Source organism: Homo sapiens, chromosome 20 (genome assembly GCF_000001405.40).
Source record: "Homo sapiens chromosome 20, GRCh38.p14 Primary Assembly".
In the NCBI taxonomy this organism is placed as follows: Eukaryota; Metazoa; Chordata; class Mammalia; order Primates; family Hominidae; genus Homo; species Homo sapiens.
This window is the reverse complement of record NC_000020.11, coordinates 45,052,713-45,080,341: the sequence shown is the minus strand read 5'-3', so window position 1 is coordinate 45,080,341 and position 27,629 is coordinate 45,052,713. Positions and strand designations below refer to the sequence as shown.

The 27,629-nt window shown below is 40.6% G+C and overlaps 1 protein-coding gene across 7 annotated transcripts in view; it reads right to left on the bottom strand.

Moving 5' to 3' along the window:
- STK4 (serine/threonine kinase 4) overlaps positions 321-27,629 on the bottom strand; it is a 113,510-nt gene continuing 86,201 nt past the window's right edge. For 6 of the 7 annotated variants that reach the window (XM_017028031.3, XM_011529018.4, XM_047440425.1 and 3 more), the window contains one exon: positions 321-5,324. In XM_017028031.3, the coding sequence (XP_016883520.1) occupies positions 5,166-5,324 (159 nt within the window). In that variant the 3' untranslated portion in view covers positions 321-5,165. Of the gene's footprint in view, positions 5,325-27,161; positions 27,257-27,629 lie in introns of all 7 variants that reach the window. The other variant, NM_001352385.2, reaches the window with a different exon arrangement.

Genomic DNA, 27,629 nt, shown 5'->3' with positions numbered 1-27,629 from the left:
TAATCTAGCCATCTCTTCTTCATTTTTAAAGTTTCAAGGTATATTGTCTCCTCTAGAAGAGTTTCCTTGGACATCCCAGCAGAACCGTCACTCCCTCTTCTGTGTATCCACAGGCCCTGTACCTTCTTCTACCATGGTATGTTCAATGTTGTGTGTTTTTGTGCTTGGCTAACTCCCCAAATGCCCTGCAAAAACTGTATCTGGTTCATCTTTATTATATTCCTGATAACTAGCTCAGTACCCTGGCACATAATAGAAGCCCAACAAAAGTTTACCAACCTCTCCCCAGCTTTGGATCTTAGAATAAACACACCACTGAGTCAATGTCACAAAGATTGTTCACAACACCATTATCCAGGCTATATATTGAGGTTCTCGTTAATAAGGGTTTGTGGTCCAAAGGACAGTTTATTTAAAACAAACGTGATGAGGTATAGGAAGAAGAAAAGAAGGAGAACAACAATTCTAACATAAAAACACAGGAAGCATCTCAAACTTAAAAAAGAAAAAAGGAGTGGGGGCAATGGAGGAAGCTATGTCTCATACAAACTGCTGACCTCAATTGATTACTTACATCCAAACCTTACAAAATAGCATTTCAAGTCAGCACTTAAGCCAGTGTTATTAGATTTTCTTACAAAAAGTTAAAGCTACAAACTTCACATTTTTAAACTGTACATAGCAAAAACATTTAAGCTTTTTTTTTTCCAAGTTGGTCCGAGTGCAAGCTGGTAAAAGAGATTTTTTTTCCAAACACAAACAAGAACATGTATTCCAAAGACAATGAATATAATACTGATAAAAACACAAACATAGTGCTTAAGAAAAGATGGGGTGAGGTGGAGATGTAGATTGGGCAGGAACAATTTTCTAGTAAATAAGGAGCTGCAATCTTTAGAGGCAACATGGTATGCTAGAAAGGACACTGGAATAAGAATCAGAAGACCTGGATCTGAATCATGGCTCTGCCATATTCTAGCCACATGACCTTGAGCAATAGACTTTACTTCTCTGAGCCTCAATTTTCACATCTGTAAAATGAGGATAATAATACCTATATCTCCCAGCACTATTAAGTTTCTATAGATATAGGGCTATTCAGATTATCTACTTCTTCTTTTTTTTTGAGACGGGGTCTCATTCTGTCACCCAGGCTAGAGTGCAGTGGTGAGACCATGGCTCACTGCATCCTTGACCTCCCTGGGCTCAGGTGATCCTCCCACTTCAGCCTCCTGACAAGCTGGGATTACAGGTGTGCACCACCATGCCCGACTAATTTTTTTTTTTTTTGATGTTTTGTAGAGATGGGATTTTGCCATGTTGCTCAGGCTGGTATCTATTTCTTCTTGAATGAATTTTGGTACTTTTTATTTTTCAAGGAATTTGTTTATGATGTTGAAGTTGTTAAATTTATTAGCATAAAATTATTCATAATATTCTATTGGCTTTTTAATACCCATAGGATGTATCATGATGTCGCTTCTCTCCTTCCTGATATTTAAAAGACTTACTGAGTTTTAAATGGTATAAATTTCTGGCATCTGGCAGGTGCTAAATAAATGTTTCCTGGATCGAAATCTACAGTCTCAAGGAGTCAAGGCTACAATTCTTAAGTTGCTTCAGATGACTGGTTCTATCTATTTATCAATACATCCATCGATCCACTCATCCACTCATCCATGCATCCTCCTACCCTTCCTCTTCCCCGTCAAACATTCATCCATCCAATTGGTGGCTTGGGGAAAGGGACAAAAAGGGGAAAAAAAAAAAAAAAGGAAAGTGCTTCAAAATTACTGATGGAGCAATTAAAACAGTCTTAAAGAATTCTGAGATTTTTGGCCAGGCAAGGTGGCTCACGCCTGTAATCCCAGCACTTTGGGAGGCCGAGGCGGGTGGATCACAAGGTCAGGAGTTCAAGACCCACCTGGCTAATATGGTGAAACCCTGTCTCTACTAAAAATACAAAAATTAGCCGGGCGTGGTGGTGCAGCACCTGTAGTGGCAGCTACCTGGGAGGCTGAGGCAGGAGAATTGCTTGAACCTGGGAGGCGGAGGTTGCAGTGAGCCGAGATGGCGCCACTGCACTCCAGCCTGGGCAACAGAGTGAGACTCTGTCTCAAAAAAAAAAAAAAACACAAACAAAAAAAGAATTCTGAGATTTTTTTTTTTAAAGACAGAATCAGGTCATTGTTTCTTGAAGGCAGAGAACAAGCGAGGACCTCAAATTTCTCTGGAAGCTCGAGTTCCAAATGCTCAAGCAATAACAGAAGCCCAAGGCTCATTGAAAGCAAGCTGACATATCTTAAATTTAGTATTCAACAACAACAACAACAACTAGGACTTGTTCCTTTGCCTTTCTGTCACTAGAAAACAAATATACCTTGTCAGGAAATTTCTCTGATCCAAAACAAATTGACTTCTGGCCAAAAGGCTTCATCAAGCTAGACTGGTAAGCAATAGACTTTGTTGGATCAGCAAGCTGGGTGCACACATTCCTGAAACAAAACAAACTCCAGATCAAAGTTCATGACCCAAGAATAGTTATGGGGGAAAACTGAACTTTCTTTTATTTGGATCTAGCTTAGGAAGGGAGAAAATGGGCTTTCTCCTCCTCTCTGGCCAAGTGCAAAGTTCTTTGTTTAAAAAAGAAAGAGAGGCCAGGAGCGGTGGCTCATGCCTGTAATCCCAGCAGTGTGGGAGGCTGAGGCGGGTGGATCACCTGAGGTCAGGAGTTCAAGACCAGCCTGACTGACATGGTGAAACCCCGTCTCTACTACAAATACAAAAAAATAATCTGGGCATGGTGGCATATGCTGTAATCCCAGCAGAAGAATCGCTTGAACCCGGGAGGCGGAGGTTGCAGTGAGCCAAGATCGTGCCATTGTACTCCAGCCTGGGCGACAAGAGCGAAAATCCATCTCAAAGAATAAAAAGAAAAAAGAAAGAGAGAGAGAGACAGAACTATTAATTCGCACAGCAAATGGTGCAGGGGTGTGCATCCTGGATGCTTTGGTTTTTAAAACTTACTTGGCTATCAGACTTAACTACTAATTCAGCTGTCTTTCCAACCTAAAAATGCCAGTTCGAGTTATTTAGTCTATGCAAGAAAAGGTGGTCACTTCATTTTAAACAGGCTTGTGACTTTCCTTTTTTGTGTAAATATTGACCCCCTATAGTGATGCTATGAATCCTGATTCTATCATTTACTAGCTGCATGACCTTGGGAAGGAATCTTTCTCTCTGAACTTATTTCTTCAACTACAAAATGGAGATAAAGTAGTTAAGTCACAGGGTTATTGTGAAGTTTAGAGCCTACCCAGCTCAGTGCCTGATATATAATAGGTGCTCAACAAATGGTAGCTGTCATTTATTATTCCAGCAAGATCCTCAAATTGTCCTCTGTTTTCCGTATCCGCCACATAGCTATTTCAGTTGCCAAGCCCTGAAGACTAACAACTGCCTCTTGCATTTTTTAAAAACTTGCTTTAATTGCAAATAACAGAATCTGGCCACAGAAGAGGCACATTCCCTGCCTTTCCATTGATTCCCAGGTTTCAGGAGCAAAAGCAATTATGGAGTCAAATTACAGTATCCTGAGGTGCAACCCAGTCATGGCTCCCCATCTGAGGGAAAGAGGTAAAGTTGCAGGAAGATGGCTCTATGCTGTCTTTTGCAAAGCCCTCTGATCTGCTTCAGGCCCGAAACCTGCCTCCATGGGTGCTTGTCTGCTATATCTGGTAGATGTTGTGGAGCTCAAGGACTCGCTGAAACTGAATGATCTGGCTCGTCCAGGGAATCTCTTTACAGCCAGGTCATCTACTGAAGAGCCAAGGCAAGAGCAAGTTTCTGTTAGCAAGGTTCCCTGGAACAATTAACCAAGACTGACACAGGTCTCTTCCCCCAAAGAAGGGGCTGCATGGTTCGGTGGCCTGGGAGTGAGGACCCTGAATTCTAGTCTCAGCTCTTAACGCTAACTTGCTTTGTGATTTTGGCCATTCCCCTCTCTACACCTCAGTTTTGCGATCATCCGTACAAGAGGATCAGATCAGATGATCTCTATAGTCCCTTCCAGCTCTGACATTCTGTGTGTTCAGATTGAGCCTCCTGGAAAACAAATCTTAGTCTAATATTCATTTATCCTTTCCAGGCTGCTTAGCAGTAAAAGAGAAAAGAAAACAGTCACATATTTGAACGTGGGTCACAAAAGCAATCCCCTCTACCCCTGTGTGTAAGGAATGTGGAGCAACATGCCACGTGTATGATTTTTACATGAACAATGAGAGCTTCAAAAACGCTTTTCCTTTGTGGACTGAACACAGTCCCGTGTTTGCTGAGAGTCCCTGGTAGAGATCATGTCTCCTCTTAAGGCACTGGGCAGTATCTGTGCTGTGACTTTAGGCAGTTGAGAGAGTGGAGATGGATGAAAGGCATTGAAAGAGCAAAGGCCAATTTGCAAAGAGGGTGCCAGGCTTCTCCTGGGACTCAAAGAGTAAACATAAACTCTCAAAGCTTTCCCTTGGACATCACCAATAGCTCCAGAAGCCAGTGATGACCACACAAGGCTGAAACCACGGTACAAGAACTGTCCCAAACCTAATTTTTAAATGCAGCCCTGCAAAGGGGGAGGTTGGCTCCTGGGATTCAGTGACCCCCTAACAGCCTCCCGGTGTCCTCTGCCCTCATGTTCCACAGTACCATAATCTTACAGAAAAGAGGCAAACCGTTTAAAACTGTACCTGTACAGAGATGCCACCACACTGCGTGGGGAATCTATTTATAATTTATATATATATATGCATATTTATATTTTTTTAAAAGTCTTCCAGAAAGAACAATTGAAAGCTATTGGGAGAAGAAAAACAGACAATGTAAAACTTTCCCAGCTATCACTCAACTAGGAGTCTCTGTTCCTGGGGTTTAAAACTCTGAGTTAAAAGCGCCAATATAAATCCTTTGAGATAATATACCTGACCAATGTACATACACACATCAAGATGGCACGCTGACTGTCAAGAGAGCCCTTCCCACTGGCGCACATTCCTGAGTTCACAAAGGTGCTGTGGAGAGACGACAGAGCAGAAGTGCTGGCTAACAAACATGAGGCAAGCCATCCAGAATTCACCCAAAGCCTGGGTGGAGCTGGGGCCCTCACAGCCTGGCCTTGCTCAGAAGTTTTGTTGCCGTCTCTTCTTAGCCTCTATGGCATCCAGGATGGGCTGCCGCTTGGACTGGTACTTCTGCCGGATCTCTTCAATCTCCTGCTCCATCATGGGGTCCAGGGCCAAGAGCCTCTTCTGAAGGTCCTCCACTGTCCAACTCTTAAGCTAGAAGAGAAGTGGAAGGTATAGTCACGACAAAGCTTAAGTCAGTGGCAGAACAGTGCAGAAGCCCAGCCTTCCCAGGCACCCAGAGGGAAGGGAGACAGGAGGAAGACACTGTGGTCAGATCACAGGTTGAGTGGTGGTGGTTGGAAAGTGACAATTCATTCCAAAGCATGGCATACCTTGAAGCTTGTCTGAGATAATTTATCCCTGGAAGAGATCTAAGTGCTAACCGCTTTGATTTAATGTGCCTTGACCAAGAACTTAGTGAATAATACTCTCACCTCCCCTATCTTTTAAGTTAATTAAATATAGATTCATTGTTAGGGCATTAAAATAACAGTAACTTGCTGTATGTGAAATAATGGTTGCCTCCCCGTTCTTGTTCTGTCTACGAGATAAGCGTCTATCTGGACAGCGCCTTTCCCACTTTCAGGATACGACACCATGGAGGATCGATGCTGATGAGGCGCAGATGCCATCCCCTAACCCTGCCTTCCCACACCCCCAATGTCTTGGCACTGCCCTATTATCATCACCAGCATTTACTTGAGGCTACTATATACCAGGTAACAGTCTAAGCCCCTTGGGAATACAGACGCAACCCTTGGCAGGGGTTGGGGTAAGGGTGGGTAGTTAGAAAAACCTCAAACTTCTGAGATTAAGTTTCTATCATCCAAAGAAAAACAATGAGTTGATATATAAATTAATAATAATGGCTGGCATTTAGTGTTTTCTATGCACCAGACACTGAGTGCTTTACATATATGGATTCCTTTAATCCTCAGAGCAACCCATGCTACAAGGACATTATTATCCCTATGTTACAGATGAACAGCCCAAGGAGGAGGGTAGCTAAGTAACCTGCCCAATGTCTCCCAACTAGTAAGTGGCAGAATCAAGACTCAAACCCAGGCAGCATGGCTCTAGAGTCTATGCTCTTAACCAGTGTTGCAGAACAGAAGACTAGCAAAGCACAGGTTTTAGAAGTAACTCAACCTTTGTTTAAAATGTGGTTCTGCCTGTTGCAGATGCCATGAGACTCTGTCAAGTTACCAATCTCTCCAGGCCTTCCCCATCTACAGAAGTCAGACAGCAGTGTCTCATCACATGTATTGTAAGAATTAAATAAGATCACGGCTGTAAAGTTCTCAGCACAGTACCTGCTGCACTGTGTGTGTAAAGATGGCAATGGGTGTTATAAGCCTCTCTCTTCATAAAAGCCCAGGGATACACCAGTGTTCAACCTGTGTCTGCAGCTATGGGGCAAGGGACTCTGCTGCCATGTGTGTTCAGTGATTCCAAGCCTGGCCAATATTGGCTGTCAGGGGTGGGAATGAATGCTGACATTATCCACAGTGGGTGGTGATACTTTATTCTGTGTGCTCACAACCAGTTTAATAGGTACAGTGTTTCAAGAACTCAAAGTCTTACAAGAGGTCTGTTGTGCCCACATTTAGAAAATCATGATCCTCGGCCCTTTCCTGAGGTCTCCACAGGAAAGTAGTATAGGAGCTGGGTAAAGGGCCCTCTGTCTGTCTACCCTTCCTTGAGTGGGTGGGGTGAGAGCAAGTGTGAAGTGCTACAGTGGCCTCCCTAGAAATGGCCTGTCACCACAGGAATTTTCCTTGGCCTGCTTCAGGGAGGGTGTCTGAGAAGTGAGAAAACCCTAATAGTTCAAGACGAAAGGTTCTTTGTAATGTGAGAATGGAAGACTTGAGAGTGTGGGTAAATGCTGGAAAGTCGGGCTGAAAAAAAAAATGCATCTTTCCAGCCTGTGGTTTTATACTACCTTAGAGGTTGGTGTTCTTGGCCCAAGGACACCCCTAATAGCAATGCTTGCCTAGTCTTTGGCATTTTCAATTCCTTCTGCAAAGAGAGAATTCCCCAAGCCTACTACTGAATGTAACTGGTAGTTAAGAATGTAATCTTTGGGATCACAGGTCCTAAATCTGTACTGGCTATGTAACCTTAAACAGTAATTTCACCTCTTGAGCCTCGGTTTCCTCCTTTGGAAAACAGACAATACTATTTTGTTCCTCCACCCTGGGGCGGTACTAAGACTTACATGAGATAATGGTCTGATGGTCTTAGCTCAGAACTTCATATAGTATGTGTTGGGCAGATAGTAAATATTCCACAAATGGATGTTATCACTGTTGTTATTGTTGCTATTGTTATTCTTATTATTATTGTACATATGATTGGTAAGTCTCTAATTAATCTTCCATAAATAAGCTGTTTCTGTAACCTCTAATTCAAGCTAGAATCAAACATGTGAAAAAGAAAATATTCTACTCTATTTCATGCTAATGCCTAAGGGCTGGTACATAATACCTGTTAACTTATGTACAGTTTAACAAAATATTTTTCACCCATCCATTTATAAATACTCATTGAACACCTACTATGGGTCAGGTGCTATTCGAGGCACATAGGCTACTTTAATGAAAACAAACAAACAAACAAAAAGCAGTGCCCTTGTGAAGCTTACATTTTAATGAAGCAAGGAAAATAGCAATAAACACAGTAAATTAGTAAATTATTTTTATATTAGAAGGTGCTCTGGAAAAAAGAAAATAAAAAATAGTGTGAAAGAAGGGGAGCTGGGAATTAGGAGGGTAGACTTGCTTTTCATCTAGCCACTAGGATGAAGAATAAATTGCAAAATGAAGACATATAAGTTAGTGGAGCTGCACTGACTTTGCAACTTATTCTGCAACTTTGGGCAAGCCCGTTCTCCTCCTCAGACCTTAATTTCCCCATTTGTAAGACAGGGCTGACTAGATGATCTCAGAAGTCTTTCCAGACTCAATGTTTCTCAGTGTATGACCTATGGATCACCTGTATCAGAATCACTTGCTAAAAACACAGATTCCTGAGCCCCAGTCCAAAGCTACTTAATAAGACTCCCTGGGAGGTGAGGTACAGGATTTTGCATTTTGAAGAAGGTATTCACGCTGGGCATGGTAGCTCATGCCTGAATCCCAGCACTCTGGGAGACCAAGGTGGGAGGATTGCTTGAGCCCAGGAACTCCAGACCAGCCTGGGCAAATAGTGAAATCCCATCTCTACGGGGGAAAAAAAATTAGCCAGGTGTGGTGGTGCACACCTATAGTCCCAGATACTTAGGATGCTGAGATGGGAGGATCGCTTGAGCCCACTCCAAGGCTGCAGTGAGCTGTGACTGAGCCACTGCACTCCAGCCTGGGCAACAGAGCAAGACCTTGTCTCAAAAATAAATAAATAATAATAAAAATAAACTAAAATAAAGAAGCTATACAGGTATTTCTTATAAATCCTCAAGTTTGATAAACATGATTCTGTATCTTCCTTATTTTTCTGTTAGTAAAATTCTCACAAAGTATTGCTGCCTGTCTCTAGCCTAAAGCTTCTCCTGGGTTTCCAATTTCTAGGCAGTTTTGTTGCCCTTGATTCTAATCTGGAGGCAACAAGCACCCTTGCCTTATCTCAGCCACCTTCAGACTAATTTATGGCTGTCCTAAGAACTTTGGGGCTTAAGTTACATCTGACCTATTACAACACAGCCAGCCAGGCACTGCTGATGACTCAGTCATATCATCCAGATATGGATTTTTCCGAAAAACAAGCTCAGACAATAGTTTCATGGCGCCAAGTGTAGCATTTCACCTTCCTGGTCCTTGGTGGCATAAATACATTTCAAATGAATATCTTGCAGTAAAATAACTGTGATTCTACAGTTTTGCTACAGCCAGAATCTTGAAGCAGCAAATTCTCAATCCAGCCATGTAAGTAGCTTGAGCTGTTTTCACGAGGTATGGGAAATATCACCCATTCAGTACCTCATCTATCCCATAGGATGTGAATATCCTCTCTATTCTGTGATACCCATACTCCATACTCGCACATCCAGATCAGCTCCCACTGGATATTTCAGTCCCTGATTATCTCGTGAAAAATCTGTGATATGGTTTGGCTGTGTCCCCACCCAAATCTCATCTTGAATGGTAGCTCCCACAATTCCAACATGTTATGGGACGGATCCAGTGGAAAGTAATTAAATCTTGGTAATTAAATAGCATGGTCAGGTCTTTCCCATGCTATTCTAATGATAGTAAGCCTGATGAGATCTGATTTTTTTTTTTTTTTTTTTGAGACGGAGTCTGGCTCTGTCCCCCAGGCAAGTGCAGCAGCAAGATCTCAGCTCACTGCAACCTCTGCCTCCTGGGTTCAAGCGATTCTCCTGCCTCAGCCTCCCAAGTAGCTGGGATTACAGGCGCCTGCCACCTGCGCTCGGCTAGATTTTTGTATTTTTAGTAGAGACAGGGTTTCGCCATGTTGGCCAGGCTGGTCTCAAACTCCTGACCTCAGGTGATCTGCCCACCTTGGCCTCCCAAAGTGCTGGGATTACAGGTGTGAGCCACCACGCTAATAGAATCTGCAGCTTAACACATCCAAAGCAAAACTCTTGAGTCACATCCCTTCCTCATCCCCAAATCTTGTCTCCTTACTCCCCAGTCTTCCCCATCTCAGGAATGGTATCATCATTCTTCCATTTGCTCAAAATCATCCCTGATCCTTCCTTTTCCCTCACCCCCGCCTCCTGCCAACATCCAATCCTTTAGCAGTCCTATCAATTTTGTCCCTGAAATATTGGTATAACTCAAACCCAACCACTTTTTTCCATCTCCATCTACCTTGGTCCAGGCTGCCATCATCTCACAGCAACAAACATAATTAAAAACACAGAAATGAATCCAATCACCTCACCCTTAGGTTTCTTTCCTATTGCACTGAGAATAAAATCCAACTCATGAGTGGCTACATGGGCCTCATATGGCTGGCCCCTGCCTCCCCTCCAACTTCATAATCTATTACTCCCTCTTTTGCTCAGGACCCTACAGCTACACTTTATTTCAGATCCTCAAACAGGCCATACTTTTTCCAGCCTCAGTGGCCTACAGAGTTAATGAATCTTCTGCCTGCATGGTTCATGCCCTGTTCTTCCTTAACCTACAGGTTTTAGTTTAGATGTCAACTCCTCAGAGGATGCAGGCAAGCCTTTTCTGACCATCTTATCTAGAAAGACTGCCTCCTCTCCATTATCCTCTATCTCAGACTCTTGTTTTCTTCAAAACAATTATGTACCTTGTAATTATTTTTATTTATTTTCTTTTACTTGTCTCTCTTACTAGGATATAAGTTCTGTAAGGGATTGACCTTGTCTTGTTTACTATGCTAAACGTAATACTGGTTGAAGAAATGAATAAATTATCCTTCATTTCTAGTCAACTAAGAACAAAAGCCACTGAAACCAATGAAGCAAGCTTACATGGGGCATCATCATATGCAACAAGGTTCTGGATGGGTGCTAAGAAGAGTCAGTGTAGAATAAGAAGTGCGTTCTGCCCTCAAGGAGCTTTTAAACTTAAAAGTAATTCCCCTTAACATTCTTTTGAAATCAAAGGAAATCTCTGTTCACTTAATGAGAATGTCTGTGTTTTGTAATGTCTGATAAGAAGCAGGGCTCCAGTCCTGGCTAAGTTATCTCTAAAGGCATGTCCATTTAAACTGTTTATTCAAACAAAAAAGAACTTCTGTTATAAGAAATACACTTTGGAAAGAATGAGATCATCAAAAGAATAAGAGACACCATCCTGCTGGACAAGACAAAATAAGGGCCAACCCTAGAGCCACAGGCTTGCTACTGAAGGTGGGTTTTGCTGAAGAGATCAGACCAAGTATAAGGATTTCTGAGTCTCTTTCTGGGAGAGATCACAGTGGAAGGAGAAACTAAAATAAGCCTCTTAATCATGGTTATTTAGAATTTCCTTGCCATCATAAGGCTAAGCAACACATCAGTCTTGGGTAAAGGAAGAGGACGGGCTCCGAGCCTGACAGTACTAATGTCTTATGGGAACTCACTCACTATTGTCTAACACCTAGAATTCCCTCACCATCGCCTTTACCCAGTCTGATGAGGTCTGATGTCTGCCAAAGGATGTCTGAATAAGTAAAAGCAACAACATTTGTGCAGATGAGATTTCTCTTAAAAGATGTGATCTCTGGAAATGTGTTGTATCTTAAAGTAGACATATTTTTAGTTTAAAGTTCAGCCTCACTCTGTTAGCAGGATACAAATGCTGTGTTACTGTTGGATTCTACACATAGATATGGAAGAAGTATGTTAATTACTTCACCATTTGCATCTGTTAAATGCTGAACTCAACATTTTGTCTGCACTATTTTATTTAATCCATCTGTAAGGTAGGTATCATCATTATCCTCCTTTTAGAGATGAGGTCACTGAGGATAAGAGTGGGAAAATAATTTAAGTGATACAACAAGGAATTAGAAGAGACAACAAGCAACTGGAAGAAACATGAAGGGTTTCTGGAAATGGGAGTGTGTTTGTGAAAAATGTGGAAGACTGGAAGAATTATGAATTTAGCTGATATTAGATACATCAGATGGCCCTCACATTCAGAAATGCCACTAGTGGTAACGGGTGACTTTAGGCAAGTTACTTGTCCTCTCTGAGATTCCGTTTTCTCATCTGTAAAATGGGTATGCTATCTACTTTGCTGCTTTTGTGCCTTTTGTAGTAGGCACCAAGTGCCTACTACACACATGGTGCTGCTGCTGACGTGCAGTGACTCCAGGGTGCTGAATATGATTCAAATCAAATCAATCAATTTTATTGGCAGCTACGCTAGGCCAGGAACACTGCTGGGCAACATGAATATAAAGGGCAATACACCTGTCAGAGAAGCAGCTCAGGTTAGGGGCAAGAGCACTGGTGTTAAGTCAGATGGACCGGGTTCTATACGAGTTCTGCCCTTGGTAGTTGGATGCCTTTGCATAAATCATCTAATATGTGCCTCAATTTTCTCATTTTTCAATGGAGGACATTATTCGTTCTACAACAGCGGTTGTGAGGTTTGGAGGTATTGGTAAGGTATATAACATAATGTCATGCATCCACCAGAAAGAAAGTGGGTAAGTGAAGGCTACCACCTTATATCCTTTTTTGGGAAATGGAGGAAGTATGTAATGTAAATAATAGCTGCTGTTGCTCTAAGATGAGCTCACAACACGGTACAGGACACATACCACATACACAGAGGCACCTCTATTGAACTCTATGTGAGAAACCCTAAATCATACCCACCTGGTTTATTTCCTCTGGGCCAGGTCACTGCAAAGTCCTGATTCCCAGCATCTCTATGAATAATGAAGGCTGATGGGAACTGATTTCTTCATAAATCACCTTAGCAACTCTGACATTCTGAATCATACCATTTTTCAAAGTCGGCTGCATAATTGGCCCAGAGTGCCACTGGCAAGCTCCAGCTGATACTTCATCACAGAGATAATTCAAAGGAATTACACTGACAATTAGCCCATCTTGAATCAGCAGAGTTAAGCTACACTAAACACATGAGAATGTATAGTAGAGCTTCCTCTTCCCTTGTCAACCAGCCCCATAGGGAACACAAATGGGTCTGGCCCATATCCAAAGTACAGGGTTTAGGCCTATTTCAAAGTTCTGCTCCTCTGCCACTACAAACTCTCACCTCAAAAGTCTATTGTCCCTAAAAACCATCAAAGAGAGACCTGCCAGAGCTTTTAAGGACAAGTTTCAATTCCATATGTATCATATATGAACAGTCACAATTCTTCCTCCAGTGTCACAAACAGGATTTCTCAAACACATCATCCCTTCTGGTTGGGCGAGTCAGACTGATCCCGTCTCAGGTGATGTTTTGTTGTGACCAAGAATGAGGAAAGAACACACCTTTGGAATTTAGCAAGATGACAGGGAAGCTCGATAGAAGCTAAAAAGTTGAATGAAGCCACCATCATACCATCCCATACCTCAACACTGGCCACTAGAAAGTCCGGAAAAGTGCAACAAAAAAAATGTACAAAGGCATCTAGAGCACTAATTTAGTACCGAGGATACTTACTCTTTCTTGATGCGAGTATGTTACTATTTAGGAATGGATTCTAGTTTAGGTAGAGGTGACTCTAATAAGATGAGATTCTCAGGTAATGCAGTAATCTCTCATCAGATGACAGAAAGCCAAGCAGAAAAATCAAAGAAGATGACAATCAAATCATAACTTGTGTGGATTAAGTAAGTACCACACCATTAGTTTCAAAAGATCTTGCTCCTTAAATAAGCCTTGTGGGAATTTTAATAAGAGACTTTCTCTGACTCAAATTATGGTCATGCCAAATTATTTTTCCATCAGTCCCCTATAAAGTCTTCCTAATTCTTCTCCAATAAGGAGGGAAAGCAGCAAAACCACGACGAGTTAACAATTGCCTCAATCCCATTTTAGGTTTATAATTAATCAACACTTGCAGTTCTCATTATCAAAATTCCAAACAAAGAGAACTTGACCACATATATAAAAAATATTTACCAAGAAGACTGGAATGAAATGCAGATCATAAGCCTGGGTGAATCAAAGAAATCTGGCTTCAAGCAGGCATGGTGATGTAATGACAAGACCTCTGACACGGATCTCTTAGAAGACTGCGTTCAAATAACCCAAAGACTTTGTCCACAGAGCCTAGAGAGGAGACTCAGTACATCGTGCGTGTACACACGTGTATGTATAAAGAATATGATTTAATAAATGGCAAACACAAAAAACAAGTTTTCTTCTTTAAATAACATTTTATAAAATATGAAGTACTTGCATACTGTTAGTTTTTTGTGATTACAGTAGTCCCCCCTATCCACAAGGGATACATTCCAGTGGATGTCCAAAACCACAGATGTATATATTTTGGTACTATCTAGCTAGATATCTGTGTGTGTGTGTGTGTGTGTGTGTGTGTGTGTAGATATATAATGTGTATATACATATGTATATAATGTGTGTATATATATACACATACACAATTTTTTCCTATACATATATACCTATGATAAAGTTTAATTTTTAAATTAGGCACAGTAAGAGATAAACAAGGAAGCATTTTACAGCTTCTCTTTGGCAAATCCAAATTGCCAGCATCACAACTCTTATGCTTTGGGGCCATTATTAAGTAAAATAAGGGTTACTCATATAAACTAGAGGAACTAGAGAAAGAAAAGCAAACCAACCCCAAAGCTAACAAAAATAAATAACCAAAATCAAAGCTGAACTGAAGGAAACTGAGATGTGAAAAAACATGCAAAAGACCAATGAATCCAGGAATTGGTTTTCTGAAAAAAAATAAATAAATAAATAATAAGATAGATGGACCACTAGCTAGACTAATAAAAAAAGAGAGAAGAGCCAAATAAACAAAATCAGAAATGACAAAGAGGACATTACCACTGACCTCACAGAAATACAAAAAATTCCCAGAACCTATTATGAACACCTCTATACTCACAAGCTACAAAATGTAGAACCAGGACCAGGACCAGATGGATTCACAGCTGAATTCTATCAGATGTATAAGGAAGAGTTGGTACCAATCCTACTGAAACTATTCCAGAAAATTGAGGAGGAGGGACTCCTCCCTAACCTATTCTATGAGGTGTCCATCTATGTCTATCATCCAGACACCAAAACCTGACAGAGATACAACAACAACAACCACCAAAAAACAAAAACAAAAACAAAAAAACTTCAGGCCATTTTTCTCGAGGAACATGGATGTGAAAATCCTCAACAAAATACTAGCAAATCGAATCCAGCGGCACATAAAAAGGTTAATCCACCACTATCAAGTAGTCTTTATCCCTGAGATGCAAGATTGGTTCAACATACACAAATCAATAAATGTGATTCATCATATAAACAGAACTAAAAACAAAAACCACATGATTACTTCAGATGCAGAAAAGGCTTTTGATGCAATTCAACATCCCTTCATGTTAAAAAAAAAAAACCTCAACAAACTAGTAACTGAAGAAACTACTTCAAAATAGTAATACCCATTTACTAAAAACCCACAGCAAACATCATACTAAATGGGCAAAAGTTGGAAGCATTCCCTCTGAAAACCAGAACAAGTCAAGGATGCCCTTTCTCACCACTCCTATTCAACAGTACTGGAAGTCCTCCCAGAGCAATGAGACAAGAGAAAGAAATACAAGACATCCAAACAGGAAGAAGGGAAGTCAAACTATCTGTTTGCAGACAATATAATTCTATACATAGAAAACCCTATAGACTTTGCCCAAAAGCTCCTTGATCTGATAAACCACTTCAGCAAAGTTTCAGTATATAAAATCAATGTACAAAAATATAATAAGTAGCATTGTTATATACCAATGTCCAAACTGAGAACCAAATCAATAACTCAGTCCCATTCACAATAGCCACAAAAAAATAAAATACCAGGGAAATAAAAGATATGTGAATAGAATACAGCTAACCAGGGAAGTGAAAGATCTCTACTTAAAGAATTATAAAACAGTGCTCAAAGAAATCAAAGATGACACCAACAAATGAAAAAACATTCCATGTTCATAGATGGGAAGAATCATTGTTAACATGGCTATACTGCCCAAAGCAATTTACAGATTCAATGCTATTCCTATCAAATTACTAATGACATTCTTCACAGAATTAGAAAAAAACAGTTTAAAAATTCATACAGAATTTTTTAAAAGCCCAAAACACCAAGGCAATGCTAAGCAAAAAAAAAACAAAGCTGCAGGTTTGAAGTTGGTTTAACCAAATTCAAACTAGGCTACAAGGCTACAGTAACCAAACCAGCATGGCACTGGTACAAAAACAGACATACAGATCAGTGGGACAGAACAGAAAGCCTAGAAATAAGGCTGTATACCTACAACCAAGTGATCGTCGACAAAGCTGACAAAAACAAGCAATGGGGAAAGGAATCCCTATTCAATAAATGGTCCTGGGATAATTGGCTAGCCATATGCAGAAGATTAAAACTGGACCCCCCCCCTTGGCCGGGCGCAGTGGCTCACGCCTGTAATCCCAGCACTTTGGGAGGCTGAGGTGGGCAGATCACGAGGTCAAGAGATCGAGACCATCCTGGCTAACACAGTGAAACCCCGTCTCTCCTAAAACATACAAAAAATTAGCCGGGCATAGTGGCGGGCGCCTGTATTCCCAGCTACTCGGGAGGCTGAGGCAGAAGAATGGCGTGAACCCGGGAGGTGGAGCTTGCAGTGAGCCGAGATCACACCACTGCACTCCAGCCTGGGTGACAGAGCGAGACTCCGTCTCAAAAATAAATAAATAAATAAATAAAAACACTGGACCCCCCCCTTCCTTATATCATACACAAAAATCAAGTTGAGATAAATTAAAGACTTAAAAGTAAAATCTAAAACTATAAAAACCATGGAAGATAACCTAGGAAATACCACTCTGGACATAGGACCTGGCAAAGATTTCATGACGAAGACACCAAAAGCAACTGCAACAAAAACAAAAATCAACAAATGAAACCAAATTAAACTAAAGAGCTTCTGCACAGCAAGAGGTAAACTATCAAGGGAGTAAACAGACAACTTACAGAATGGGAGGAAATATTTGCAAACTATGCATCCAACAAAGATCTAATATCCAGAATCCACAAGGAACTTAAACGAATTTATAAGCAAAAAACAAACCTTCCTGTTAAAAAGTGGGCAGAGGACATGAACAGACACTTTTCAAAAGAAAATGTACATGTGGCCAACAAGCATATTCAAAGTGCTCAACATCATTAATCATTAGAGAAATGCAAATGAAAACCACAATGAGGCCAGGTGCAGTGGCTCACACCTGTAATCACACTTTGGGAGGCTGAGGTGGGCGGATCACTTGAGCCTAGTAGTTTGAGACCAGCCTGGGAAACATGGTGAAACCCCATCTCTACAAAAAAATACAAAAACAATTAGCCAGGTGTAGTGGCACATCCCTGTAGTCCCAGCTACTCAGGAGGCTGAGATGGGTGGATCAACTGAGCCCAGGAGGTCGAGGCTGCAGTGAGCCATGATCACACCACCGCACTCCAGCCTGAGTGACACAGGCAAGACCCTGTGTCCAAAAAAAAAAAAAAAAAAAAAAAAAAAAAAGGCCGGGTGCGGTGGCTCACACCTGTAATCCCAGCACTTTGGGAGGCCGAGGCGGGCGGATCACGAGGTCAGGAGATTGAGACCGTTCTGGCTAACATGGTGAAACCCTGTCTCTACTAAAAATACAAAAAAAAAAAAAAAAAAAATAGCCGGGCGTGGTGGTGGGCGCCTGTAGTCCCAGCTACTTGGGAGGCTGAGGCCGGGGAATGGCGTGAACCCGGGAGGCGGAGCTTGCAGTGAGCCAAGATCGCGCTCCAGCCTGGGCGACAAAGCTGGGCACTCCAGCCTGGGCGACAAAGCGAGACTCCGTCTCAAAACAAAACAAAAAAAAACCCCACAGTAAGATTATCGTCTCACATCAGTCAGAATTTTTTGCTATTACTAAAAAGTCAAAAAATAACAGATGCTGGCGAGGTTGTGGAGAAAAGAGAATGCTTACACACTGCTGGTGGGAATGTAAATTAGTTCAGCTATTGCAGAAAGCAGCGTGGTGATTCCTCAAAGAACTTAAAACAGCATTACCATTTGGCCCAGCAATCCCATTGCTGGGTATATGCCTAAAGGAATATAAATCATGAAGACACATGCACAATAATGTTCATCACAGCACTATTCACAATAGCAAAGACATGGCATTAACCTAAATGCTCATCAACGGTAGACTGGATAAAGAAAATATGGTCCATATACACCATGGAATGCTGTGTAGCCATAAAAAAGAACAAGATCATGTCCTCTGCAGCAACATGGATGGAGTTGGAGGCCATTATCTTAAGCAAACTAACACAGGAACAGAAAAACAAATACTGAGGCCAGGCACGGTGGCTCACACCTGTAATCCCAGCACTTTGGGAAGCCAAGGTGGGAGGATCATTTGAGGTCAGGAATTTCAGACCAGGGTGGCCAACATGATGAAACCCTGTTTCTACTAAAAATACAAAAATTAGCTGGGTGTGGTGGCACATGCCTGTAATCCCAGCTACTTAGGAGGCTGAAGCAGGAGAATTGCTTGAACTCAAGAGACGGGGGTTGCAGTGAGCTGAGATCGCCCCACTGCACTCCAGCGTGGGCGACAGACAGAGCAAGACTCCATCTCAAAAAAAAAAAAAAAAAAAAAGAAGAAGAAGAAGAAAAGAAAAGAAAAACAAATACTGCATGTTCTCACTTATCTAAACAACAAAAACATGAGTACATACAGGTGAACAATAGACACTGAGGATTACTGGAGGGTGGAGAGTGGGAGAAGGGAAAAGATCAATAAATCACCTATTGGGTACTATGCTAATTACTTGGTGATGAAATAATCTACATCAAACCTCAGAGACATGCAGTTTACCTATGTAAAAAACTGCACATGTACCCCTGAACCTAAAAGTAAAAAAAAAAAAAAAAATTTCCATACTAAAATAAAACAAAAGGGTTAAACAGAAGCACTGTAATACCAATACCACAACAGTCTTTATGATAACCAAGATGCCTACTAAGTGACTAATGGGTGCAACCGAGTGGATATGCTGAACAGAGCAATGATTCATGTCCCAGGCAGGATGGAGCAGGATGGCACAAGGTTTCCTCATACTACTCAGGATGACGCATAATTTAAAATTCATGAATTGTTTATTTCTGGAATTTTCTATTTAATATTCGGTGGTTGTGGGTAACTGAAGCCATGGAAAGCAAAACCATAGTTAAGGTTTGGGAGCTACCGTAATTAAAAAACATTCTCAAATTTACAGGACAAAATTCTTAAAGTAGTATTTTGCATGCTTAGAATTTATTCCAACTCTATTCTGGCATGAGCCTTTACGACTTGCTATGGAATTCACAAAGCACCTGTTTTGTTTTGTTTTGTTTTTGTTCTGTGAGTTTTAGAACAGCCTTTGACCAAAGGTAATACAGTTTTGACCAAACACAGATTTTTTTCCCTATCATTTTGACCTTGATTCTCCACAGCAAGAACCCATCAGAAACTTTCCTATCCCCCAAGGTTTACTTGCTGATATCTAGCATTACATCTTTTTAAAAATGTAGCCAGTACCCACTCTGTGTCAGAACCCATGTAAGGATCGAGGAGTATGGGTGAGTAAGAGTGGGTATGGGACAAAAAAAGTATATGGCATGCTCCCTTCACGCTAGTTGTGGAGAGAAAAGAGGTAGGGAAGTCATGAAAACAAGCTACAGTCTAGGGTATTAGTGAGGGCTAATGATCACTAACATTAATTAGAGATACTTTTAATTGAGTTCTATGTGCTGGACATTGTGCTCAGCACCTTACATGCATTATCTCGAGTAATCCTCACAACAGTCCAAGAAATAAGTGCTCTTACCCCTCATCTTACAGACGCAGACACTGGAGGCTTAGAGAGATATAGGCATTTGCCTCTGGTCCCAGAGGTTGTAAGTGGTTGAATTAGGATAGGAACCTTAGCGTGTCTGACTGTAAAGCCTGGCCAACTGTGTGTCAAGGCAACATGTGCTATAGGAATTGACAGATGGAAGAATCCCTGTGGTCAGAGTCTATGGGAAAAAAAACTTTATCTCGTCACACATTTATAGTGCAGAGAAGAGGGGGTCATTCTAAATCAGGGAAAGGTCTGAATTTTAACTTTTAAAAATGAAATGCAAGTTTGGTTATATCAAGTAACACATTTGAGATACAGAGAACTAATCAAATTAGGTTAAATAAACGAAAAGACTTATGAGCTCATTAGTCAGAAATACTAACAACAACTCCCAATTCCTTCAGGTGCCATGCTTTTTTACACCTCCAAGCTTCTGCTGGATCTAATTCTGTCTTCTGCTTAGGGGGCTGCCCATTCAACCTTCCAGCTCAGCACAAGCTCCAACTCCTCTCTCAATCCTGTATCTTTTTCTTTTACTAAAGTAGGACCTATTTGAGATTAAAGACTATATCTAATATATTTTCAGAGAGCAGGCCAGCAAAAAATAATTCTTAATAAATATTTAATAAAGAAATAGATCCTTAATCTTTAAGCCTTTGTTTGAAAATGATACTGACTTTTTACTGGGTTCTCTCAAGCATTTCAGCTTTGAAAGTATGTAATCAATACATAAGCCTAAGAGGATAATTTAAGTTCATTAAATAAAGTTGTATCAATTACTCAAAATTGATCCATGCATACCAAAATCAAAATAAGCAACTAATTCAGTATCCTACTTGCAATAAAATTACAAGGAAAAAAATGAAAAAAATTCTCTAGTCCTGGTTGCTTATGATTGCTCTTTAAGAAAAATTCTATTTTAAGAGTATATTATATTCCCCCTTATCTGTAGTTTCAGTTACCCACAGTCAACCAAAGTCTGAAAATATTAAATGGAAACTTCCAGAAATAATCAATTCCTAAGTTTTAACTGTGTGCCATTCTGAGACGCATGATGAAATCCTGCGCTGTCCTGCTCTATCCCGCTTGGGATGTGAATCATCCCTTTGTCCAGCATAACCATGCTATACACACTATCCACCCCTCAGTCACTCAGTAGTCACCCTGGTTATCAAATGGACTGTTGCAGAATTGGTATCACAGTATTTGTGTTCAGGGAACCCTTATTTCACTTAATAATAGACCCAAAATGCAAGAGTAGTGATGCTGGCAATTCACATATGCCGAAGAGAAACCATGATGTGCTTCCTTTAAGTGAAAAGATGAACATTGTTGGCTAACAACAAAAAATCATACACTAAGGCTGCTAAGATTACAGTAAGAATGAATCTTCTACCCATGATACTGTGAAGAAGGAAAAAGAAATACATGCTAGTTTTGCTGTCATACCTCAAGGAGCAAAAGTTTCAACCACAGTTGTGTGATAAGCGCTTGGTTAAGATAGAAAAGGGATTAAATTTGTGGGTGAAAGACATGAACAGAAACGTTCTGACTGATGGCAATGGGGTTCAGTACTATCTACAGTTTCAGGTGTCCAGTGGGGGGTCTTGGAACATATTCCCCCATTGACAAGGGGGACACTGTAGTTTTAAATTGGTGTATAAATTTCACACTTAAGGAAGCCAATCTGTGAGAGAAACACTTTCAGGAAGTTAGTAAACACCCATTACACCTCCTAGAATAATTGTAAATGTCTACAGAAGGTAGAGTACAAGAATGCGAGGCTCTTGATGTTTGAAAGCACTAAAGGGAGGCATCAAAAATAACCTCATTCTTGTAGGAATATTAATCTTTCAGAAGGTATGAAAACCTAAAACACCAACTGCACCGAGCTACTGTTTTAATGCAGCTTAATAATTCAGGAAAAGAGCTAGCTAATCACATAAGAAACCCTGCGAGCTATGTCTCTGTATGCTTTCTTGGGCTGGAAATTTCCGAGATAGCAAAAAGGCCAAGCTGCTTCTCTCTCTTCCTGCCAAATAAAAAAAGCCCAAAGAATCCCCAGCAAAATTTGAAAGCTAAAATGCAAATTGATCTCACTTTATTTAATAGATGCAGTCTTAAAAGGCATCTTCAGACTAAATAGGATCCAATTTTAAACACATAAAAGAAAAAAGAATGCTTACAGAAAACTTGTCAAGAATACAAATAGAAATTCCCTAAGTAAGCTACTTTGCAGGTTGAAGTTTTAAAATTGGGGATTTCTTAGCGTGGAAAAGATTGCAAGTACATAGCACTCAGTTTCTGGAAAGTATATAACACTCTGTAAGCCTTACTGCTGGGTACTCCCATGTAATGAAGGGTGAGATTCACAACCTAAATACCCAAAAAAGAAATACCCTCTCAAGCAATCCTTTGAAAGAAAAAAAAAAATCTGCAACAAAAGCAGACAAGAATTCCACAAAGCATGTCAGAATCTTTTTATAATGGCCATAAAGTCTTAGGACTTGAACTCTCTACAGTGTCAAAAACATAAAATAGGTCTAGATAGGGGTAGGGGTGTGTGTGTGTGTGTGTGTGTGTGTGTGTGTGTGACCTTCAAACTGCTAAATATAAGTTTTTATCATTTGTTCATTTTTCTGGTTGAAGACTCTAAAAAAGATAGGTTTGTTTAATCCTTATTCTGTAAAAGCATTAGTATGTATATAGCCTAAATATTTTAGGATAGTCTTTTATTCTTTTCGGCAACTGTTTAATTGGTATAATCAAATGTGAATTAATTTATGCCATGGTAATACTTCTCAAATGTGTATAAATTCCTAAACCAGAAAAAAATTTTGTAAAGACCATGTGTCCTAGTTTTTCATTTTGAAAGGTTTAAACACTATACTCCTAGCAGTAAGCTCATCTAGGCTCAGAGTTAAAAACACTTAGCTTCTCTGGTATAAAACCGTTCTTTAAAATGTGCTTCCTAAATGTTTTCTATAATGAGCAAACATCTTGAACAAAGAAAGTGCTTCCAATCTGGGGTCTGACTTACAACTTGGAATCTATGATTCCAATGACTGGGAGAGGGGAGAATAGGGACAATATCATGATTAGTATATAACACAGGTCCCATGGGAAGGTATAGTTCTATTTGTCTATAAACATATCTTTGTTACTTAAAACTACGTAAGTTCTAATTTTCATAAACTCTTTTCCCCTCATGAAGGGTCTGATTGTTAATAACACAAGCATATAGTTATTACTGCTCTTGACTTGATAGCACTTCTTTTTAAAAGAATAGGGATAGTGTGTTACCTCTAAGATCCAAGTGCACCCTTCTAGATGCATTCTGTGATAATCATTTCTCTGAAGAACGTGTGCTGTGAAGTTTTCTCAGTAGAGCACTGGGAGGAAGAGGCTGTCCTAAGTGTCCAGCATGGGAGATGGCAATGTGGGTGTGAGGACCATCGACACTGTGGCCCAGCGACAGCCTAGAACGTGGTCTTTCTGTGACCTTGCAGACTCAGCCTATCCTAACGTTTTGGGAGCTCAGCTGACATGGCCACTAAAGCCTCCACATGGCTCTTGTGTTCTAAAGGCCTCCTGGCCCAGCCAGGGCCCACACCCTGCTACCCACCGGATGGCCAGTAACCCACTGGATGGCCTGCTCTCTGCCAGCACTCCAGAAGGTAAACGACGGCTTGCCCAGAGACTTTGGATCAGCTCCAGTCTTGTCAAACCAGCAAACTCCTCTGTGATTCCATGGGCTGAACCACATCTTCTCCAATGAAGTCTGAAGCCCTGGCAGTTTGTCCTTCCTTGGATATACGCCCTCAGCCTTAGGGAACGCTACAGAGTTTCTTCATATCTGATAGTTACTCTTTTATCATAGGTAATACTTATTATATTAAATTTCCCCTCTTTAATCTACTGTGTGGTTTCTATCTCCTCTCTGAACCCAGACTGCTACAGGAGGAAGCGTGCAAGTGAATACACATGAGCTCATGTTTGCCCACTAATGGAAGAACTTTCAAAATGATAAAACCTAAATAAATATTTGTATTTGAAAAATGCCAAGATACTTTCCAATCCAGAAGAGTCTGGATGATATTTACAGTCCAAATGCAGAATTAAAATACTCTCATTTTCTCCCACTGAAAATAAAGTAGTAGTGAACAGATAAATTCTGGTAATATCCATACAATGGAAACTACTCAGCAATAAAAAGGAACAAACTCCAGACATATGCAACAAATGAACAAATCTCAGAACAGTATGCTAAGTGAATGAGGCCAAACACAAAAGGCTATATACTGCACAATTCCATTCATCTGACATCCCAGAAAAGACAAAACTTTAGGGACAAAAAACAGGGCATAAGGGAACTTGATGGGATATTAGAAATGTTCTATAGCTTGATTATGGTGGTATTTATACAACTGTATATTTCTATTAAAACTCATCCAACTGTACACTTAAAAGGAGCATGTTCTATAGCATATAAATTAAACCTCAACAAATCTGACTTTACAAAAATATTACATAGCAAAAAATTGTGGCAGGTAGTTGAAATAGTATTTAAAGGAAATTTTACAGCCTTAAATGTATGTTAGAAAAGAAAGATAATTGGGCCCGGCGCGGGGGCTCACGCTGGTAATCCCAACACTTTAAGAGGCCGAGGCAGGCAGATCATGAGGTCAGGAGTTCCAGACCAGCCTGGCCAACATGGTGAAACCCCGTCTCTCCTAAAAATACAAAAATTAGCCAGGCATGGTGGTGTGCACCTCTAGTCCCAGCTACTCGGGAGGCTGAGACAGGAGAATTGCTTGAACCTGGGAGGCAAAGATTGCAGTGAGCCAAGATCATGCCACTGCACTCCAGCCTGGGCAACAGTGCAAGACTCCGTCTCGGGGAAAAAGAAAACAAAAAAAAAAGAAAGAAAGAAAGAAAAAGAAAAGAAAGATAATTAAAAATTAGTAAGCTGAATTGTCCAAGTGAAGAAAAGAGAAATAAACCCATAGAAAGCAGAAAGAAGAAAATGATGTAAGAACATAAATTAATGAATTCAAAAGTTAATGTGCAGTAGCAAGGATCAACAAAACCAAAAGCTGGTTTGGGCTTAAAAAAAAAATTACACTTTGATAAGACTGATCCCCACCCCCCGGAAAAAAAAGAAGAAACAAATAACAGGAATGAAAAGCAAGCTATAAATACAGATACTGCAAATTTTAAAATCTGAAACTTGATGCCAATAAATTTTTAAATGTGCATGAAATTAAGATGTCTTGGGAAGCGGCAGAGACCTACATCTGGAGTGAAACCAAACAAAACTGACTACTAAGAAATCTAGACCACAAGGACAAAGTGGAATGAGTAGATTGTTAAAAACACATACTCAAATGACAGAGCCACAGAGGATGAAACCATCTCTGAAAATAGAGACAACCATGATATTTCTGAATATACGTGTTTTCCCTAAAGGCAGGAAAATGAGAAAAAATAAGTTAACGCCCAACCTCCAGTTCTGACAACACGGCAGAGTAACAAGGTCACTCCTGAAACCTCCCCATGTAAGAGAAGCAGGGATATCCAGGGGCCAGAGAAATTGTGTACATGCCCATCCCCACCCCTTCTTTTGATGCTTATATTGCTATTCTTGGTAAATCAGGTGAAAATGAATACCAAGGGTAGTCCTATGGAGAGAAGAAATCACAAGGACAGGTGGGAGAGAAGGTTAAGCTCTGCCTGTATTGCCTTAATGAGAGGGCAGATTCAGGGACCTTGTTGGACAGTGATTACAGGAATAGTAACAATAGCAATAATAAAAGCCAGAATTTTTTAAGCATTAACTGTTCATTATTAGCAGCCATACATTAAGTATTTTATATGTATTAATCTCATTTGCTCTTCATTAAATCTTACAGCTATAATTATTAACCCAGTGCTACAGATGGGGAATTTGAGGTTTGAAGAATTATATAATCCATTGAGGTTAACACAGCCCGCAAGTGGTTGAAATCAAAATTGAATCAGGTTCTGTCTGACTCTGGGGTCTGTACTTTTTCCTTTTTTTTTTTTTTTGAAAAAAAAAAAAAAAAAAGATAGGGTGTCCCACTGTTGCCCAGGCTAGAGTGCAGTGGTGCAATCATAGCTTACTGCAGCCTCAAACTCCGGGTTCAAGTGATCCTCCTGCCTCAGCCTCTTGAGTAGCAGGACTACAGGTGGGCACCACCATGCCTGGCTAATTTTTTAATTTTTTGTAGAGACAAGGTCTAGCTACATTGGTCAGGCTGGTCTCAAACTCCTGGGCTCGAGGGATCCTCCCGCTTTGGCCTCTCAAAGTGCTAGGATTACAGATGTGAGCCCCGCACCTGGCCAGGAGTCTGCACTTTTAATGAAATGTCACCCAACATCTACTACTATTGGCTAAGTGCTTTCACACTCATTTTCTCAGCTAAACAGAGAGAGAATGAAGCACGGACAGCAGTAAAGCCTATATGCGGGGCAGCATTAGCATACAGAGAACCCACGATTTAGTCACTTGCCTTGGTAACAATGAACTGGCAAATTTTCCTAAACCCAAGTTACCATAGTACTAAGTAGTTAGGGGAAAGAGATGGTGGCTTTCTCTATCTGCAAAACGGAAAATCCAGACAATCCCAACTAACTTTTGCTAAAGTTCCTGTGAGAAGTAATCAAAATTTCATGGATAGAGGTTCCCTGGGGACAAATTTTGGCTGAAAAAAAAAACAAAAAACAAAAAAAAACTACTATCTTTACACACAGCTTTGAGCAATGATTTGAACTACTTCCAACTTGTGGAATTCCCTCTTCTCAGAAATGACTGCAGGTAGTCAAGCAAATGTGAGATGATGCCTCTTGTTGGAAATATAGCAAGAGCTGGAAAATATGTCCTTTAAGACCCTTTTCAATTCTGAAAGTTTATCATTCTCTGATACAGTGTTGGAACAGATGATTGAGAGAGACAATGGCTTCTAGGAATTCAAGACATGCCCATCTGTCACCTGTGCTTACAGTGAAGCCACACAGAAGTTAACTATGGAACAGTCCTTCCTAGGGCCTAAGGTGCTAGGATACTTATTGCAGTTCTTAGGCTCCATTTCTGAGCCAGTCTGGACTCAGCTCTTTTTCTCACCATGTAGTTGAGATTAAAATTATCCTGTAGTTTAATATCAGAGAATAAATGGCCACAAGAATGAACGCTAAAGAAGAAGCCTGCCAAGCAGCCATGGATCAAGCAGTCTCCGAACCAAACAAAGGAAATGAAAAACAGTCTCAGGCTCACACAGGCTGATACTGTTTTAAGCAACCTCTTGAGGTCAAAAACCGCAGGCATTTAAGTCCTGCTCTCAAAGCCATTTCAATAACTGAGTTAAAAACCCAGCTCAAATCAGCTAGCACGATCCACCAGCAGAACCAGGCTACTGTGGTTCTGAGACAAAGATGACATTCATTTACCATGTGGTTTCTCAGAAAGCGTATCTACACAGCAGGTTTCCCTGGCAATTTTGGATACATATGTCTTTTCCAGACTGCTGTTCTTGGCTAGTTTTCTGAAAGAAAAGAGCACAAAATCTCATTATATTCCAAAGCACAAATAAATTCAGTCTCAACATACTTTAAACCAAGCTTTACAGGAAAAATAAGAAGTTGAAACAAAAATAGTGTACCCTGTCAAGAACAATTTAGGATAGTCTTCTCACCAGAAACTGCTCGACAGGACTACTTCAGTAAAAAGCCATTAACAGGCAGTGCTGTTGACCTTGGCTAGCTACTGGGCATTCACATGGCACTGCCGGGTCAGAAACCTAAACACCAAACATAGTCTCCATTCATCTTTCTTCTAGCACAGAAGAAAAGAAACTCATCAGAAAAAGTTTAAAAAGCAGAGCATGGAGATTGTCCAGAAAGGTGGTGGCAAGAGTC